General features: G+C 44.8%; 1 protein-coding gene and 1 long non-coding RNA gene across 6 annotated transcripts in view, besides 2 other annotated features; one reads left to right on the top strand and one right to left on the bottom strand.

Moving 5' to 3' along the window:
* The window catches only part of CTDSPL (CTD small phosphatase like), a 122,590-nt gene extending 109,491 nt beyond the window's left edge, over window positions 1–13,099 (bottom strand). For all 4 annotated transcript variants that reach the window (NM_001008392.2, NM_001438028.1, NM_005808.3 and 1 more), the window contains exon 1: window positions 12,701–13,099. In NM_001008392.2, the coding sequence (NP_001008393.1) occupies window positions 12,701–12,779 (79 nt within the window). In that variant the 5' untranslated portion in view covers window positions 12,780–13,099. The remainder of the gene's footprint in view (window positions 1–12,700) is intronic.
* Window positions 10,836–11,335: an enhancer, noted in NCBI's record as "H3K4me1 hESC enhancer chr3:37905135-37905634 (GRCh37/hg19 assembly coordinates)". NCBI's record gives its function as "activates a minimal SCP1, AML or CMV promoter by ChIP-STARR-seq in primed H9 embryonic stem cells {active_cell/tissue: H9 hESC(primed)}" and the evidence as "EXISTENCE:reporter gene assay evidence [ECO:0000049][PMID:30033119]".
* Window positions 11,336–11,837: an enhancer, noted in NCBI's record as "H3K4me1 hESC enhancer chr3:37904633-37905134 (GRCh37/hg19 assembly coordinates)". NCBI's record gives its function as "activates a minimal SCP1, AML or CMV promoter by ChIP-STARR-seq in primed H9 embryonic stem cells {active_cell/tissue: H9 hESC(primed)}" and the evidence as "EXISTENCE:reporter gene assay evidence [ECO:0000049][PMID:30033119]".
* A 99-nt stretch (window positions 13,100–13,198) lies between the features above and the next one.
* ITGA9-AS1 (ITGA9 antisense RNA 1) overlaps window positions 13,199–19,231 on the top strand; it is a 108,092-nt gene continuing 102,059 nt past the window's right edge. For both annotated transcript variants that reach the window (NR_110531.1, NR_110532.1), the window contains exon 1: window positions 13,199–13,278. This is a non-coding gene — a long non-coding RNA (ITGA9 antisense RNA 1). The remainder of the gene's footprint in view (window positions 13,279–19,231) is intronic.

The raw sequence follows: 19,231 nt of genomic DNA, 5'->3' as shown, positions 1-19,231 counted from the left end.
AAGAGAAAGATAGGTCATTAAAATACTGAACTTTAAATGTCTGGTAAGTCAAGATTTCAAATCTGCAAAGTAAGTTCTAAGACATATAATTCTTTCAACATTACCCAAGAGAATCCCTTCACTCCCTTTTTCAATAGCTAGATGCTGCTTCCCTTGGCACCATAGGTTACCATCAAAGCAAATGAAGAAACTTGTGTGTGTGCGTGTGTCTGTCTGTATTTATTTATTATTATTATTATTATTATTTTTTGAGACAGAGTCTCGCTCTGTCGCCAGGCTAGAGTGCAGTGGCGCAGTCTCAGCTCACTGCAACCTCCGCCTTCCGGATTCAAGCAATTCTCCTGCCTCAGCCTCCCGAGCAGCTGGGACTACCAGTGCGTGCCACCACGCCCAGCTCATTTTTGTATTTTTAGTAGAGACGGGGTTTCACCATGTTGGCCAGGATGGTCTCAATCTCTTGACCTCGTGATCTGCCTGCCTTGGCCTCCCAAAGGGCTGGGATTACAGGCATTGAGCCACCGCGCCCGGCCTTGTGTCTGTATTTAAATCTAGACTCATTTATGGCCAGAGCATTTCCTGACCATGGCCAACTCCTAGCTGAACAGCCTGGTGAACCCACTGGCACTTTTATGTACCCCCTCAATCCACACCCTCAACATCACCAAAAGGGAAAAAGCCATTTACTTCAGAATTAAACTTGAAGTGGTGTGGTCCCTTCTGAACACCCAGTGCTGCCATGCCAAACGGGGTTCTTCCCCAACCTGGGATGCTACAGTTAAGTACAGCTTGGGGCAAGTTTCTAGAGCCCAAAGACCTACTTTCAGGGTAGCCCAGACTGGAAGCAAACTCTTCTAGTCACTGGCCAGCAAGCCCTGTCTACGCACCATGAGTGCTAAATCCAGATATAAGGTCCTTTGTGTTTGCCCCAAGAAGACATTTCTGTTTACTTAAATGGATGCTTCCTTAACTGAGAAACAAAGTGAAAGCTATCAGGTTAAACATGCTTGCTAATCAAACAGAATATTAGATTTAAAATACATTTAAGTTAGGACACTCATGAACTTGAAGCTAAAATTTTGATATTAAGACCAAAGTTTATGAATGCATCTCATTAAGGTTGCTTAAATCACAGTTGTCACTGATGCCCTACTGATCTAGACTTGATTTCACAGTGAATTATCTTTTCTCTTTTCAATGGACAATTAAGATTTTCAAAGCACTAACTGAATTTGACTTTTACATCAGTCATTAGCATAATATTGAAATAAACCTTTAAAATGACAACTTTCTAATTCTAGTCTTCCTTAAAATACTTAATTTGGGTAGGTCTAAAAATCAGGGGACTTCTGCCTCCAAGAAGATGGAGTAGACATACGTCTTCCTGTTTGCCACTAAGTACAACTGAAAATCCTGGACATTATATATAAAATAAACATCAAAAGACTGTGAAAGATGGAAAGAAGAAAGCAGATCAGCTAGGGACCTTGAATCCTAAAGAACAATAGGGTGGTGATTTCCCTGGGTTTTCTTTTTGCCTGGTAGACAGACCCTAGACTTGGAGGTAAAGAAGCTGGCTATGGGAGAAAACCGACAGTTGCAGACGAAGAGACCCAATAAAAGCCTACTCTCTGTAACCAAAGGACCAGAAAAGGGGCAGTCTAGCAAGACAGAAATCTTTCAGACAAAACTGCTCTACTATAGCCTAATATCACCCCCATCCCTTCCGCCACACACCTACTCATGCCAGAGAAAACCTAATGGCTACCTAGAATTCCACCCTCATAGGGTGTAATGAGGCATCCTACCACCCATGCTGGAGTGGTGTTAAAGGTGGCCAAATATGAAGCTCATCCCTGAAAGCTGGTAATGAGCTCCCTCTTCTCCCAGTGGTCAGTGGAGACCACATGGCCACCTTGGACTTCTACTCCTATCCAGCAGTAATGAGGTGCTCCCCTTCCCATTGAGGTGGTGTCAGAGGAGGCACAGGAAGTCAGGGCTTTCACTCACAGCCAGTGGTAATGAACACTCCCATTGCAGTACAGTAGAGACCACACAGAAGCCGAACTCTCTTCCTGCCCAGCAGCAGGTCAAAAGAGGCAAAGTGGGGGCTGGGCACGGTGGCTCATGCCTATAATCCCAGCACTTTGGGAGGCCAGGGCGGGCAGATCAGGAGGTCAAGAGATCGAGACCATCCTGGCCAACGTGGTGAAACCCCACCTCTACTAAAAATACAAAAATTAGCTGGGCATGCTGGCAGGCACTTGTAGTCCCAGCTACTCAGGAGGCTTAGGCAGGAGAATCACTTGAATCTGGGAGGTGGAGGTTGCAGTTAGCTGAGATTGCACCACTTCACTCCAGCCTGGGCAACAGAGTGACTCAGTCTCAAAAAAAAAAAAAAAAAAAAAAGATAAAAGAATTTAAAAAAAAAAAAAAAAAAAAGAGCCTAAGTAGGAAGACTTGACATCCACTCCACCTGACATTAACAAGGCAGTGCTTCTTTCCTGATGGGGGCATGTCAGAGAAAACCAACCAAAACAGAAGGCTTAAATAAGACCCAGAGTCTCATAACATAATACAAAAATGTCCAGGTTTCAATTGTAATTTGCTTATTATACGAAGAACAAGGACTTCCCGAACTGAATGAAAAAAAACAATAAATGCCAACCCAACACCAGGATGACAGAGATTCTACACTTATCTGATAAAGATTTTAAAGCAGCCATGATTTTTAAAAAAATGCTTCAACAAACAATTAGGAGCATGTTTAAAGCCTGGGTAACATAGGCTGACCCCCGACTCTACAAAAAATACAAAACATTAAGCCAGGCAAAACAAAACATGTGCCTGTAGTCGCAGCTACTCAGGAGGCTGAGATGGGAGGATCACTTGAGTCCATGAGGTTGAGGCTGCAGTGAGCCATGATCACACCACTGCACTCCGCTCTAGCCTGGGTGAGACAGAGCCTCAGCAAAGAAATAGTCTCAGCAGAGAAGAGGAAGATATAAAGAAAAACCAAATGGAAAATTTAGAACTAAAAAATATAATAATTGAGATAAAAATCTCAGTGGATGTGCTCAATAACAGACTAGAAGAAATAAGGAAAAAAACCCAACAAATTTGAAGACAGAACAACAGAAATTACCCAACTGAACAACATAGGGGAGAAAAGACTGAAAACCAAAAAAGCTCAGTATGGATAAATCTGTGGGACTATAACAAAAGATCTAACATTTATGTCATCATAGTCTCAGAAGGAGAAGAGAAAGAGCAGAGCTGAAAAAGTACTCAAGAAAATAATGCCTGAAAACTCCCCCAGTTTAGCAAAGACATAAACCAAGAAGCAGAATGAACTGCAAACAGAATAAGCTAAAAGAAATCCATGCCAAGACATATCATAACTAAACTTCTGAAAGCTAAAGATGGTAGGGCCACTTTGGAACACAGTTTGGCAGTTTCTTACAAAACAACAAAATACTCTTACCATACAAACCAGCAATCATGTTCCTTGGTATTTACCCTAAAGAGCTGAAAACTTAAATCTACACAAAGACCTGCACACATATGTTTATAGTAGCTTTATTCATAAGGGCTAAAACTTGGAAGCAACCAACATGCCCTTCAGTAGGTGAATGGATAAACTGTGGTACATACAGACTATGAAATATTAATCAGTATTAAAAAGAAATAAGTTAACAAGCCATGAAAAGACATGGAGGAAATGAAAATGCATATTACTAAGTGAAGGAAGCAAATCTGAAATGGCTACATACTATATGATTCCAAGTATATGACGTTCTAGAAAAGGCAAATCTATGGTGACAGTAAAAAGATCAGTGGTTGCCAGGGATTGGGCAGGGGAGAGAGAGATGAATAAGTGGAGCACAGAGGATGTTTAGGGCAATGAAATTATTCTGTATAATACTATAATGGTAGGTATATGTAATTATACATTTGTACAAACTCATAGAATATAAAACCCCAGGAGTGAACCCTTATGTTCTTGGACCTTGGGTGATAATGACATGTCAACACAGGTTTATCAATTGTAATAAATGGGCCACTCTGGTGTGGGATGTTGATAGTATGGGGAGCTATGCATCTGTGCAGTCAGGGAATATATGGAAATTCTCTGTGCTTTCTGCTCAATATGGCTGAGAACCTAAAACTGCTTTTAAAAATAAAGTATATTTTTAAAAAGTATTGAACTGAATGAAAACCAAAATTGCAAAATATCAAAATTCGTGGGACACAGCTAAGGTAGTGTTGAGAGAGAAACTTGTAGCACTAAATGCATAAATTAGGAAAGGGAGAAAGCCTCAAATCATTCATCTAAGTGCCCCTTCAAGAACCTAGAAAAAGAAGAGCAAAATAAACCCAAATAAAGCGGAAGTAAGGAAATAAAGATAAGAACAGAAATCAACAAAGTTGAAAACAGAAGCAATTTTAAAAATCAATGCAACAAAGAACTGGTTATTTGTAAAGAATAAGAAAATTGAGAAACCTCAAGCAAGATTGACACACAAAAAATAAGATGGAGGACACACATTGTCAACATCAGGAATGAAACAGGGCATAACACTACAGATTCTGCAGGCATCAAAAAGGTAATAAGGGAAAAATGCTATGAATAGCTCTATACACACAAATTTGACAACTTAGATGAAATGACTCAAATCTCAGAAAAACAAAAAACTACCCAAGTTGCCCAATCTGAAAGAGATAATTTAAATAGCTCTATAACTATTAAGAAAATTCAATCTGTAGTTTAAAAATTCCCCCCAACCCCCATCCCTCCGAAAAAACGTCCAGGCCCAGATGATTTCACTGGAAAATTCACACCAATTCTACACAATCTCTTCCAGAATACAAAAGAGAGGTAACACTGATACCAAACCAGATAAAGACAACACAAAAAAAGAAAACTGCAGACCAACATCACTTACAGACAAAAAAATCCTTAACAAAATATTAGCAAATAGAATTCATCAATATATAGAAAGAATTATACACCACAACCAAGTAAGGTTCATTCCATGGACGCAAGTCTGGTTCAATATTCAAAAATCAGTTTAATCTATCGCATTAACAGACTAAAGGAGAAAAATCACATGATTAGACTAATTGTTGCAGAAAAAGCATAAGACAAAAGTTAACATTCATTCTTGATTAAAAACTCTCAGAAAAATTGAATTAGAAGGTTACTTCCTCAACCTGTTAAAGACTTCTATTAAAAAACCTACAGCTGACATTATACTAATGATAAAATACTGAATGGTTTCCCCCTAAGACTGGGACCAAGACAAGGATGTCCATTCTCACTACTCTTGTTCGACATACTGCTAAAGTTCTAGTCAGTGCAATAAAGCAAGAAAAAGAAATAAAAGGCATACAAGTCAGAAATGAAGACATGTAAGTGTTCTTATTTGATGACACGTTTGTCTATGTGAAGGACTTCAGGGAATCTATAAAAAGCCTCTTACAACTAATAAGTGAGCTCAGCAAGGTCATAGGATACAAGATAAGTATTCAAAAATCTTTTGTATGTCTGCATGTTAGCACTGAACACGTGGGCACCAAAATAAAAAATAAATACAATTGATAGTCGCTTAAAAAATAAACACTCTACAGCATTGTAGGATAACTATGGGCAACAATACTATATAGTTTTAAATAACTAAAAGGAGGATAATAAATGCGCCCAACACAAAGAAATGATAAATGTTTGAGATGATGGATATGCTAATTACCTTGATCTGATCACTACGCAATGTGTTTATATGATTATATACCCTATAAATATGTAAAACTATGATGTATCAATTAAAATATGTATAGTTTAAAAAGAACACTCAGATGTAAATCTAATAAAATATTAATAGGACTTGTATGCTGAAAGCCTAATGGCAGAATCAAAGATCTAAATAAATAGAGAGACGTACTGTGTTCATGGATTGGAAGACTTAATCTAGAAAAGATGTCAGTTCTCCTCAAATTGATACACAGGTTTAATTAAATTCCTATCAAAATCTCAGGAAGATATTTGTAGATATAGACAAGAGTATTGTAAAATTTACATAATGTGGCAACAAAACTAGAACAGCTAAAACAATTTTGAAAAAGAACAAAAGTTGGAAGCATCAGTCTACTCTATATCATGACTTATTATTTAGCTACAGAAATCAAGATTATATAGTATAGGCAGGGGGATGGACATATAGATCAGTGGGACAAAATAAATAAACCCAGAAACAGACCCACATAAATATGCCCAACTAATTTTTGACAAAGATGCAAAAGAAATTCAAAGGAGGAAGGACAGATAACTTTTTCAACAAATGTAGCTGAAGCAACCAGACACTCAGAGACAAAAAACCAAACCAAAGTTTCACGCCTTATTAAAAAATGGACTCAGAATGGATCATGAACTTAAATTTAATGTAAAATTATAAAACTTGGAAAAAGCGTAGGAGAAAACCTTCGGGATCTAGTGCTAGGCAGAGAGTTCTTAGATTTGACACCAAAAGCACAATCAATAAAAGGAAATATTTATATATTGCACCTTATCAAAATTTAAAACTTTTGCTCTGAAAAAGGCTCTTTAGAGGATGAAAAGCCAAGCTATAGGCTAGAAGAAATACTTGCAAACCACATATCTGAAAAAGGACTAATATCTATAATATATAAAAATTCTCAAAACTTGACGGTTTAAAAAAATCCAATTAGAACATGGGCAAAAGACATGAAGGGACAGCTCATCAAAGAAGATATATAGAAGAAAAATAAGCACATGAAAAGATGTTCAACATCATTAGCCATCAGGGAAATGCAAATTAAAACCGTAATAAGCTACCACCACATATCAGAATGGCTAATATGAAAAATAGTGAAGTGATAATTACTCAAGGTGATGGATACCCTAAATACCCTGACTTGATCATTACACTATTCTATGCATATAAAATATCATATGTACCTCAGAAAAATGTACAAATATTATATATCAGTTTTTAAAAAAGAAATGAAAAAGGTAACTCAAAGGAGTTCCTTTGTGGTGACAAACGAGTTCTGTAGCTTGTGATGGTGGCTATACAAACATAAATGTGTTAAAGATGCATAAAGCTACAAAAAATGAATTCATGCAAAAACTGGTGAAATGTGAGTAAGGTCTGTAGTCTAAACAACTGTATTTGCCAATGTCAATTTCCTGGTTTTGATAATGAAATATACAATTATATAAGACGTTAGCGTTAGGGGACACTAGGTGATGGGTACATGGGACCTCTCTGTATTATTTTTGCAACTTCTTTCGAGTCTATAATTATTTCAAAATAAAAATTTTTAAAAACAGTGACAACACCAAATGCTGGTGAGGATGCAGAGAAACTGGATCACTTATACATTGCTGGTGGGTATGTAAAATGCTACATTTACTCAAGAAAACAGTTTGGCAGTTTCTTTAAAAAGTAAACATGCAACTACCATATGATCCAGCAATTGCACACTGGGCATTTATCCCAGAGATATGAAGACTTAGGTTCAAACAAAAACATGTATACCAATGTTTATTGCAGCTTTATTCATAATACTCAACATCTAGAAACAATGTACAGATCATTCAAAGCGTGAATGGTTAAACAAACTGTGGTATATCCATGTCATGGAATACAATTGAGCAATTTAAAAAAAAAGATTAATACAAGGAACAACCTGGATGAATCTCCAGATAATTATGTTGAGTGAAAAAAAGCAATTCCAAAAGATCACATACTGTTTGATTCCATTTAGATAATGTTCCTAAAAAGATAAAATTTTAGAAATGTAGAGTGGATTAGTGGTCACCAGTGGGATATGGAGCAGGGTGGGCATGGGAGGGAAGCAGTGTGACTCTGAAGGGCAACAGGAGGGATCCTCCTGATGATGAAATTTTTCTATACCTTGACTATATCAATGTCAACATCCTGATGTGATACTATACAGTTTTACAAGATGTCAGTAATAAGAGAAACCGGGTAGAGGGCATAGAAAGTCTCTGTGACTTCTTAAAACTGCATGTAAATTTACAGTTATCTCCAAATAAAAAGTTTAATATAAAAAAGTTAGTCTGAATCTACTATAAATCTGCTTCTGTCATCTGAAATAATTATTGCTTCCAAAAGTCTTCTCTTTGCTATAATTTTGTTAGCAGCCCAAAGCTTAAAGTTTCTGAATTAACACTGAGTATTACAAACATTTAAAGGAAACACACCTAGCACCTTAGGCAAAAATATCTGCCCAAACAAATTTTCCTGCAGAAATCTCATCAAGGACACATATTAGCTTACAAAATAATTAACTGTTTAGATGTCATTGATATGTTCTTGCTAATACTGCATACTAATTGAGATTTTTTTGGTTTTATTATTGTTCAATTCCCTCAAATTATTTCTTTCCCTTCAAAGAGCTATGGGAAATTTCTTTTTTTAGTTAAAAAATTTCATCTGTAAAATGAGTATATTTCATTAATATTTAAACAAAAGGCAAAGTTTCCTCTCCCTAGAGGAATCTTTGTTGTCCAGTCTTCTCCCAGAGGAATATTTGTTGTCAGCTTATTTCCTTCCATATTACTTTTTCTGTATTTCTAAACAAATATACAGTTGTGTGTATGTGTGATTTTTTTTTTACAAAGGTAGGAACCATACTGTTTATACTGTTCTTCAAAATTTTTCCTGCTTTAAAATGTCTTGAAAATTCACCTATCTGTATGTTTAGATTTAATTTAGCTCATTCTTTTCAACTGCCTCACAGTATTCTGCTAATGATGTATCATAGCCTAACCATTCACCTACTGACACTTAGGATGGTTCTAATACTTGCTATTGCAAGCAATGTAGCCATTAAGTGAAAATCCTTGTACATGTTTCTTTGAGCACAAATGAGGTTATTTCTCTAGAACAGAAACTCAGAAGTAGAACAGGAGCTTTCAATGTGTGGTCAATACTGCTGTTTGGCTGAACCAATACCTGTTCCCACCTATTTTCAATCTTCTCCCCTCCTGCCTCCCACAGCAAAGGCTGGTTTAAAAGCTGGAAACTCACTTTCCTCACTCTGTTTGCAGCAAGGGGTAGCCATGTGGCCTGGTTCTGGCCAATTAAACATCAGCAAAGTTTTCTGGGTGGTCCCTAGGAATGTTTTTGCGTTTCTGCTTTCCAGGTAAAAGGAATACACAAGACTGGCACTCTTTTTCCAGCCCTAAAGGTGGCTGTGGTGTTTGGAAGGGTGGCAGCCATGCTATAACATGAGGGAAAACCAGGAGAATCACTATGATGTTGGCCCTGGTATCAATGAGTTGCTGAAAAAGCTATCAGCAGCCTACCTCAGACAGCTTATTATGTGGGAAGAATAAACTCCTATTGGTTTAAGCTGCAGTAAATCTGGTTTTCTGTTACTTGCAGCCAAATGTGTTCCTAATTGATTCAGTATTAAATTACTCTCTAAAAACTCTGTACTCACTTTATTCTCTCACAAAAGTCTATTAAGTCATTTTCCAAACCTTTGTCTACTTTGAACATTGGCAGTCATTTAAATGTTTAACCAAGCTGATGCATGAAAAGGTTTCACATGAAGTAGAGCACAATTTCATATATTTATTGGCCATTCAGATTTCTTCCTCTACGACTTTCTTGTTCCTAACTCTTGTCCACTTTTCTACTGTACTGTTGGACATTTTCCTATTAATGTGTAAGAGGAAATTTCCAGATTGCAAAGTAGGCTGAGTTAAACTTACAGGGAAATTTGTCTCTTTATCTTGACATTATCAACCAAATCAAACACAACTGTAAGATATGAGCATTCTGTGACAGGCCAGGCTGACAGTGACAGTCATCTCTGAGTTGTGCACCACCACGTGGCAATGTGTCAAGAAGTAATTCAACTTGGTGCAAAACACCACAGCCCATGCTTAGTACTTCCTTTGTAAATCTGTATCTAAAGAAAGATTTATGGAATCATGACACAGTGGTGAACCAGGCAGAGTCTTTAATGTACATCATCTCTTTGAACCCTCAGGTCACACCCCAGAGGTAGTCATTACTATTCCTATTTTACAGAATAAATGATGAAAGTAAACATGTAAAAGCAATAGTTTCTTCCCTATTATAAAACTTAAATATTTAAAATATTCCAGGCCCAATATTTTTAAAACAAAATAATTATCTCAAAATAAAATTATGTAAAATACATTTTTACATAATGTAAAATTATGTAAAAATGTATTTTACATAATTTTATGTGCCCATCTGAAGATATCAACATGCTTAAGCTAGAAACATTGCTGAACCGGTTTACTGGTTTATAAATCTGAAGAAATTATTCCAACATTTGACTCTAGAGTTTATTGCGACATTATAGGTAACCAAAATTATTTCCATTTTTTAAAGTGAAGAACTAAATTGAGTAGGATTTCAATGCTTCAGCAAGAAGGACCTACTAGCCAACCACCCCACCCCAGGGCTGCAGGTAAAGAATTCCTCTAATCGGTTAACAAACAACCAATCTGACACTGGCAAACAAAATAGGCTGCTAAAGATAATAAAAGATTGTCATGAAAAGTAATGTAAACAAGTTGAATAGAACAAGCACTATCCTGGAGTATTTGTACATGGTTTGGATTTTGGATAGATTGATTCTTTGTTTTAAAAATCCTAGCACCTAGAGGAAAAGGGAAAGTTGGCAGAGCTCCTGCTCCTGCTCCTGGAGTCAGGTGGGGGGCAGCAGGAGGTCTGAGGCTCTGACAAATATTTCCCTGCTTTGTGCCACACCTCTCCTCAAAGAGCTGTGGATTCTCTCTGGCAAAGCATCACACAAAGCACTCAATCCACAGCTGGTAAGGAGCACAGGAAGCAAACCTCCTTGATGCCTCCAACCAAACGCTCCCTGAGGGCACACACCCAGCCAGGGCTCCAAGAACTAACAGCCCCTATGGCAGGAAGTCCAGATCACCAAGCAGCTGCCCACTTGGGTCCCAGAGAAATACGGGGATTTACCTGGAGCACTCTCTTGCAGAATTTTTTAGACCATCTGAAAGGCACAGAAAAATGCCTGAGAGAGTTTGAATTCTTTATTTTACATAAAAGAAATCCAGTCTGCAGACACATACAATGTTTGTGGTCTACGAAACTGCAAACAGGTTGACAAATGCCCAACCTGAGGGTACCTGCTGGTTCCTTCCGTTTTTCTGACGGGCTTGCCCAGTGGCCTCTGCCTGAGGAGAGGCAGAATATTCCCCTCACTCCCACGCAGATTTCTAGCAGGGGCTGCACACCTCACCCACTGGCACAGCAAAGGTGGGAGCCCCTAGAAAGAAATCTGACTCATCCCCAAAGCCGGCTGTGGCCAGCTCCGGCCTGGAGAGGGGTCAGGGGTCCTGGTGGGCTGCACCTGACCTCAGTCCAGGTGTTCACGAGGCGCAGGACAGGAAGAGAATGAGGCAAGCTTTAGTCACCAGAACAAAAGAAGCCAGATTCCTTGACCCTTCAAAACAGTCTGTCCAAGTCCCAACACACTAGAGGCACAGAAAGTTCCAGGCATGCAAGAGAGGGGGACACGCCAAGTCTCTAAGTGGGAACACAGACACCAAGAGAAAGGACAAAAAGGAAACAGAATGGGGGGCTGGGGTCAAAATGTGCCAAAATCAAATCAGGCACAGAAGCACAGTGCTGGCTGAGCCCTTGGCCAGCTCTCTGGGAGGGGACACTCCTGGCACTATAAGGGATCCACAAGTGCCCTTTAAAGCTGGGTCCTAAAAGGGCCCTGGAAGGGCCAGGCCTTGTAAGTCCTCCCAACATGCTGGTGGCCCGGAGACAGCAAAGAGTGGAGAAGGGAGAAAGCGGGGATGGCTCCGAACTGCCTCTTCTCCCCCCCAGACTCCAGCACTTGCACAACCAACTAAACACACCCAGACACATGGCCTCATTGTCTGATACACAGGAAGGCACACACATCTGTACACACAGGTTCGTGGTTAGGTGCACTGATGCACACAGCCTCATTGTATACAATTTACACACACACACGCCCTCCCAGTAGATGTATACAACACATTCAATCCGCCAGTTGGGTGGTGTAGTCACACAATCATACACACTCACAAACTCTGTCAGGAGTGAACAGGCATAGAACCTCTCCAGGCTCATGCTCACGCACACACATTCCACAACCCCTCAGTCAGGCCCATACAAACCTCTAATACACACAACACAAACTCACAGCCTGTCAGGAAAAAAAGCACTCACAACATCTCCGTTAGGTGCGCAAACCCTTACAATCTCACAACCTCTCTGTGAGGTGCACACATATCCTTACAATCACTCTGTCCGCGTGTGCACACACACATACAAGTGCACACACTTAGAACCTCTGTGTTAGGTGCACACACAGGCTCACAACTTCTCTGCGGGCGTGCGCGCACACAAACTCACAACCTCCCGGTTAGATGCACACACACTCGCTCCCAGTCTCTCCGCCAGCCCCTGCACACTCACACTGGCTCAGTCGGCACACGCACTCTGGCAGCCTCGCTCTCCTCCGGGCGCACCCCACACCCACGCACCCTCCGGGCCCTGTGCACCCCTCCCCCAGGCCCATGCCGGCGCCCGGCAGTGAACTCCAGCGGCGCGGGGTGTGCGCTCGCCCCCAGCCCGCGGCCGCCTGCGCCCCTCCTCACCTTTCTCGCCCGCGCCCGGCAACCGGCCCTCGTCCTCCTTGGGGTTGGTCACCTGGGTGATGATGGCCGGGCCGTCCATGGGTGCGCGGCGCGGCGGCCGCCCGCAGGCCCGGCCCCCCGCAAGCCAAGCGCGCGGGGGCGCGGCGCGGGGGGCGCGGGGGCGCGGCGCGGGGGGGCGCTCGCAGCCGCTGCCTGGGCGCGCCCGCCGCCCGGCCCCGCGCTCTGGGAGAGGCGGCCCGGGCCCGCGCCCCAGCTCCCGCCGCCGCCGCCGCTGGGCTCGAGCGGCCGCCGCCTCGTCACCATGAACCCCGGAGCCGCGCCCGGGAGAGCCGCGCACGGGGAGGCGGAGCGGGAGGCCCGGCGCCGCTGGAAGCGGGAGCGGGCGGGCGAGGGGGAAGGAGCGAGCGAGGGCGGGAGGGCGGGAGGGCGGGAGAGAGGGAGGGAAGGAGAAAGGAAGGGAGGGAAAGAAGAAGGGCGGGCGGGTGGGTGTGTCCCGGCCCGGGGACCGGCCTCCGCCGCGGGCTCTGCCCGCTCGCCTGCTCGCCTGGTGGGGGAGAGGGGAGCGGGGCCGACACAGGGTGAGTGGAGGGCGGGAGGGGGCGGCCGCGCGCGCGGGGGCCCGGGGCAGTTGAGTGGGGTGAGGGGCTCGGGGTGTAGCGGACGGCAGAGGGGCTCGGGGGGTTAGAAGTGAGGGGTGTCAGGGGGGCCTGGCAGAATGAGTGAGGTGAGAGGCCTGGGGTGTGAGAGATGTGGGGAGGAGTCTGAGGCAGATGGGTGGGGTGAGGGGAGCGGGGGGATTCGCGGGGGCCCGTGGGGGGCACTGGAAGGATTCGGAAGGGTGCAGTGTGGGAGCCCGGGGGCCGAGGGGGCATGGCATGGAGGCAGGAGCGAGGAAGGGGGCCCGAGGAGGGATATTTACCGCGAGGAGGCGCGGGAAGTGCTGGCGGAGGTGCTGTGAGGGTGTCTCGGGAAGGTGCTGGGCGAGGGGCGTCCAGGCGAGGGAACCGAGGGGCCTGGGACGTGAGTGCGGAGGGAAGCGGTGTGCAGAAGTGGGGGCTGCCCAGGAGCGGTAGTGACACCCAGACGGCCCGCAGAGGGGCCCGGGCGCGGCGCTGCTGTGATGGAGACCGGGGAGCGTGGGGAAGGTTCGGAGAGGCCCAGGGCTGCGCTCCCCAGCTTGAGGGGTCCCAGGAGTGAGCGGGATCGGGAGTGATCTGTGCAGAGAGGGAGTCTGCGGACCGGGCCAGAGGCTCAGGTTGTTCGGATGCTGGCGGGACTCGCGTCAGCATTCGGCCCCAGAGCCCGCGTGAGGGGCGGCGGGTCCTGAAGGACCAACCTCCTGCACGTGAGGGTGTCGTGACTGAGAGGGGCCTGGGCAGTGGGCATTTTCGGGTGCTGTGCAGCAAGGGGACCGGGGGAGTCCGTCGAGGGCAGAAGAGCGGAAGGCGCTGGTGGCAGACCAAGTCTGGCAGGGACTGTGCTTGTGCAAGGCAGCTGGCCACTGTCAGGCCTAGGACGACGGCCAGAGCGTGGGAGAGACGACAAAGTGCCTCCTCAGCCTGGGAGCGTCGGGGCCTTTGGACGCCCGCGTCCTGCGCTTCCAACTTGCAGGCCACACTCTGCAGCCCCGTAAGCCGGGGGGGCGGGGTAGTGCCGCAGGAGGGCGGGCTCGGGGGTGGGGCAGGAGCGCTCGCGCGCGCTCTCCACGAATCAGGAGGGCCTGGGAGGGCCTACAGGGCGCGACGTCGGTGGGCAGGGTTCAGTGGGCGGCCTGAGGCGAAGAGCTGCTTGCCTCCGCCTGCTAGGTTGCGCGCGCACTTCAGGCCTTGCGGGCATGTCCAGCTCTTCTGTGGCTTCCAGCAGGCGAGGCCAAACAGGATCTTTCTCACTTCCCCACATCTCCTGGATCCTGGAGCTGATGCAGTCAGGTCCCGTGCTCACCGGGGGAACCGGCGAGCCTCTCCAAAGTATTAAAGGACACTTCCGGAAGAGCCTTTGGCCTGTGGTCAGCCCGCAGACATCGGTGGTCTCTGTACCTGTAGGAGCCCCATGAGGGTCCAGGTGTGGGAGACAGTCCTGGGACAGGGCTTCTGCGGCCGAGGCAGGTGGAAAGGCACTCCAGGGGAGCTGCTGTAAAAGGTAGTTGGTAGGCAAGAGGTGGGCGTTCTGCTCCAAATCCAGGACCTCCACTGGCATTCTGGCTCTGTGTGTGTGGGCGGGACCAGGTGCCAGTTGCCCTTGGGGCGTGCTCACGTGTGAGTAGCTGCTTTTCCAAGGGCACCTTTGGGACCCCAGTGAATCACCTCATGGGGTAGATCCATGATAGTTGAAGAAGTGCCCTTTTAGTCAGGAAGGCAAGCCCTAGTGTAATAGCCCAGGCTCCAGGGCATGCCCTTCTTAATCCTCCCAATACAGACCACAATACTGGGACGGACTCCCAATACTCCCTAATACAGACCACATTAGGGCCCCATGGCAGCTAGCATTTCCCTTGTTCTAACTTCTAATGCTCTTCACATTTGTTATGAGGGTGTGGCTGACCTGGGACCTGGTGAAATCAATTTTCTAAAATAAGAAAAATAAAAAAGAAAAAGACTTCTGAATTCTAAGGGGTCAGAGAAGGATCTTCCAGAGATTGCTGAGTGGGGAGGGCCTGGGGATATGGTTCTACAGTTTTTGGTCATAACCACAAAGATTAGCATCTCTGCTGCCTGGTCGATGAAGCATCCCAAATAGTCCATCAGCGAGGGCAAAGTGATGGAAACATTTGGAGTCACTGATTAACATGCTTGAGGGCTGGATCCCTTATTTGGGAGGTGGGAGTACTTCCAGAGCTTCTTTTCACTTAATGAAGGCTGGGAAGCTCAGAGCTCAGTGGTACAGGGCTGGAGGAAGTCATTTTCATATATAGAGTCTTTCTTGTTTGGCCTCTTTTGTAGCAATGACTCCCCAGGACCCTCCAGTAACAATTTTCCTTTACCTGCATCCCCCACCATCCTCAGGTTCCTGAGATCACCTTGAAAAAAAAAAAACCCTTACCTTCGCCCAAGTCTTTCAGGCTCAAGCAAGAAAACAACTTGCTATCTTTTAAGTCCTTGTTCCCCTCAGTTATGCTCTTTGATTTATTATTTTATCAATATTAATAGAATCAAAGAAAAGTATCACCTATAGCCCTATCACCATCCCTTAGTCCATCTCTAATTTCCTCCATTTCTCCCTGTCCTTGCCTATATGCTGACATAATTTTATGTAGCTATAAAAAAGCCATGTTTAAAATTATAAGGTTAGCATTTTCTTATGTGGTGACATAATTGCTGTTACTACTATTATAAGTGATTGCATAATACCTTACTGAAACAGTCTTAGATAACACAGTATTTTGGTTTTACACATGAAAGAAAGATTCAAAAATTGTTGGGACAAGTACCTATCCATGAGGAAAAAATATATCTTTATCCCAGTCCTTACAGCACATTCAAGATAGACTGAATAATTAAATATAAAAAATTAACATAAACCAGAACAAATGGGTAAGTGCTTTTTGATCTTGGATGGGAAAGGCCTGAGAGTGACAAAAACTTAAGAAATTGCCAGGATAAGACTGATAAATTTGGCTATATTCATTCAACAAACATTTATTGAGTGCATATTCTATATGCAAGGTTCTGCTCTAGACACTGGGGATCTCAGAGTTATCTAAAATGACAAGTAGGGAGTTGAGCTATCATACTCTCACACAAGTCAGTCAGTCATAGCCAAAGGCTGTCCCTGGGGGCCTTAAGCCCCTGGGCACTCTGGGGCTCTCTGGGAATAGGAGCAAAGCAGCCCCACTGACCTGAGGACAGGTGCCAGCCATGGGAAGCCAGAGCACATCAAGCCCCAGTGGGGGATGTCCAGAAACAGTGAAAGGGGCCCAAGGGGACCTAGACAGAGCACCAAAGTGTTGGTTGAAGTTACGTTTCCCAAATTCCCATCATACAGTGTCCTTGTACCACCTGTACAAGAACAGGTTTAATATTTTTCTTTAATTTTTATTTACATATAATTCTTTTAATAGGAAACTAATAGATTAGGTTTTGAGTTTTTTGTTTGTTTGTTTGTTCGTTTGTTTTTTGAGATGGAATCTTCCCCTGTTGCCCAGGCTGGAGTGCAGTGGCGCAATCTCGGCTCACTGCAATCCCCACCTCCTGGGTTCAAGGGATTCTCCTGCCTCAGCCTCCTGAGTAGCTGGGATTACAGGCACACACCACCACACTTGGCTAATTTTTGTATTTTTAGTAGAGATGCTGTTTCACCATGTTGGCCAGGCTGGTCTCAAACTCTTGACATCAAGTGATCCACCCACCTCTGCCTCCCAAAGTGCTGGGATTACAGGTGTGACCCACCACGCACAGCCTAGATTTTTTTAAAAAACATACAAATGAGACATGTAGAAAGGACCATGACCTTAGAATGAAGGTGCTACACAGAGTAGGGGGTAAAGATTGGGATACCAAGGGTAGGGGGACATGAGGCTAGGGCTGACGAACCCAGCCCCAAGGGACCAAGGACAGGAGCAGATAGGAAGATGGAAGAAATTGCCCAGGGCACCCTAGCCTGGAGTCTCTGGTAGAGCTCCAAGAGGGAGTGGTTGGAGTTGGACTCAGGTGACACATAGGGGTGACACTGCTCTGTGAGTGCAAGCGTGAGGAGTGAGGCCAGAAAGAGGCTGCCCCTGAGGAAGGAACATTGGGCATTGAGATCAAAATGAGATGGTGATTTGAGGAAAGGGGAACTGGGGGTGGACATCACAGATGGGTGTTCAGCTAGAAGGAGCAGCAGCATGTTCCAGGCCTAGAGGCGAGGGACAGAACATGCTCTGGAAAGGTCTGCAATGGCTGGGATTTTGGACACTGGTGCTGGGTAGCTCTCAGATCAAGCAAAGCCTTGTAAAGCAGGAAAAGCATCTGGGCTTTATTTGGGGGGCTGTGGGAATGACATAATCAGATATGTGTTTAGAATATTTCTGCTGAGGTAGTGCAAGAGGCAGGGAGACCTACAGAAGATATTGCATTAATACAGAAAGAGGATGATGGTAGTTGTGAGGATTAAGGGGGCTAGACAGATTCCAGATACATTTTGGAAGGAGGTTGGACAAGTCTTGCCTACTGCTTGGGCTTGAGGAGTGAGGGATGAGCAAGGAGGAAATGGCCTCCAAGTTTCTGGCTTGTGGGCCCAGACAAAGTTGAGGGCCCTTTGCAATGCTCTCTGCCTCCATCATTCGCAGCCTGCCCCTGCCCTGCTCGCCACCTTTGAATCTCTCCTGGCGGGCACTGTTTCTTGGTCTGCTTTTTCTCCTCTTTGTGGGCATCTCAGTCTCAAGTTTTGTGTGTCTGTTACTCAGACTCTGTCTCTCGCTCTCTGTCTCAGGTATTTTTCTATGTCTCTGTCTCTTTCTGAGTCTAGCTTCACATGTCTCTAGCTCAGTCTTCCCAGCCCTTTCTTTCAGGAGCTGGGCCTGAGGGTGGTAAGTGTCCTATTGGAAAAGAAGTGGAAGTTGGATTTGGGCAGAGATTCGTGGTGATTAGTAAAGTGGAAATGAACCTGAGCCCACCCACAGGTCTCTCTCCTGGGGTCACCTTGGGACCTAGATGAGGTTCCTCCAGGCAGCAGCCCTTCTCTCCTACTGGGAACCAGGCCCAGAGTCTGAAATCAGTTCCAAAGAGCCCTGTGCTAGCCTAGGCAGGCCAAACCACTCCCACACCAAGTATGTATCGGATGCCCTTATTGTGCCAGGCTAGGGCCACATGCAGTGGACAAAATACCCTTAAGGGGCTCACAGCCTAATGGAGGAGGCAGAAGAGCAATCAGAGGGTGGCACAGAGTAGAACTGATTTATTCTCCAGGGAGTCCCCACAGAGGTGATGATGCTAACAGTGTCATTTCCAGAGCCTTCAGTTCCTGGATGAGCGGACTTTTTCATCTACAATCTCCACAGAGAAGGCTGTATTTGAGGAGAAGTAGGACATAATGACGGAGGAAGAGGTGGAGGTCCTGAAGACCAGGTTGAGTTTGGAATTTAACCTAAGGGTAATCTGGAGCCACTGAGACCTCTTGAGCAAGGAACAGGCACCAGTTCAGAAACTAGTTAAGATCTGAAGGTTAAAGTCAAAACTCAGACCAGCTTAAGCAACAGTGGGGGCTCTACTGGCTCATGTAATCAAATCACAGTTACATGCCTGGGCTGGAGTGGCCTGCGAGTAGCATCTGAAGCAAGGAGATAGAGATCTCTAGGGGAAGGATGTGACCTCCAGCTACTACTTTTCCCCATAACCGGGATGATCAAGGTGTTAGGAAAGGCAGAGGACATCCTTACACCTCAAGACACCCTGTATTCCCCACTCAGCTTGTTCCAGGACACCATCCCTAAGGGATCCCCAGAAGCTCATCCTTCTGCCTTCAACACCCATAACTCCCATGCTTCCTCAACATCCTGATCCTTTCTTACCAAGACCCACTCTCCCCCATCACACATGGATTCTTCCAATCAAA

The sequence above is a fragment of the Homo sapiens genome, chromosome 3 (genome assembly GCF_000001405.40).
Source record: "Homo sapiens chromosome 3, GRCh38.p14 Primary Assembly".
In the NCBI taxonomy this organism is placed as follows: Eukaryota; Metazoa; Chordata; class Mammalia; order Primates; family Hominidae; genus Homo; species Homo sapiens.
This window is presented reverse-complemented; position numbering and strand designations above follow the sequence as displayed.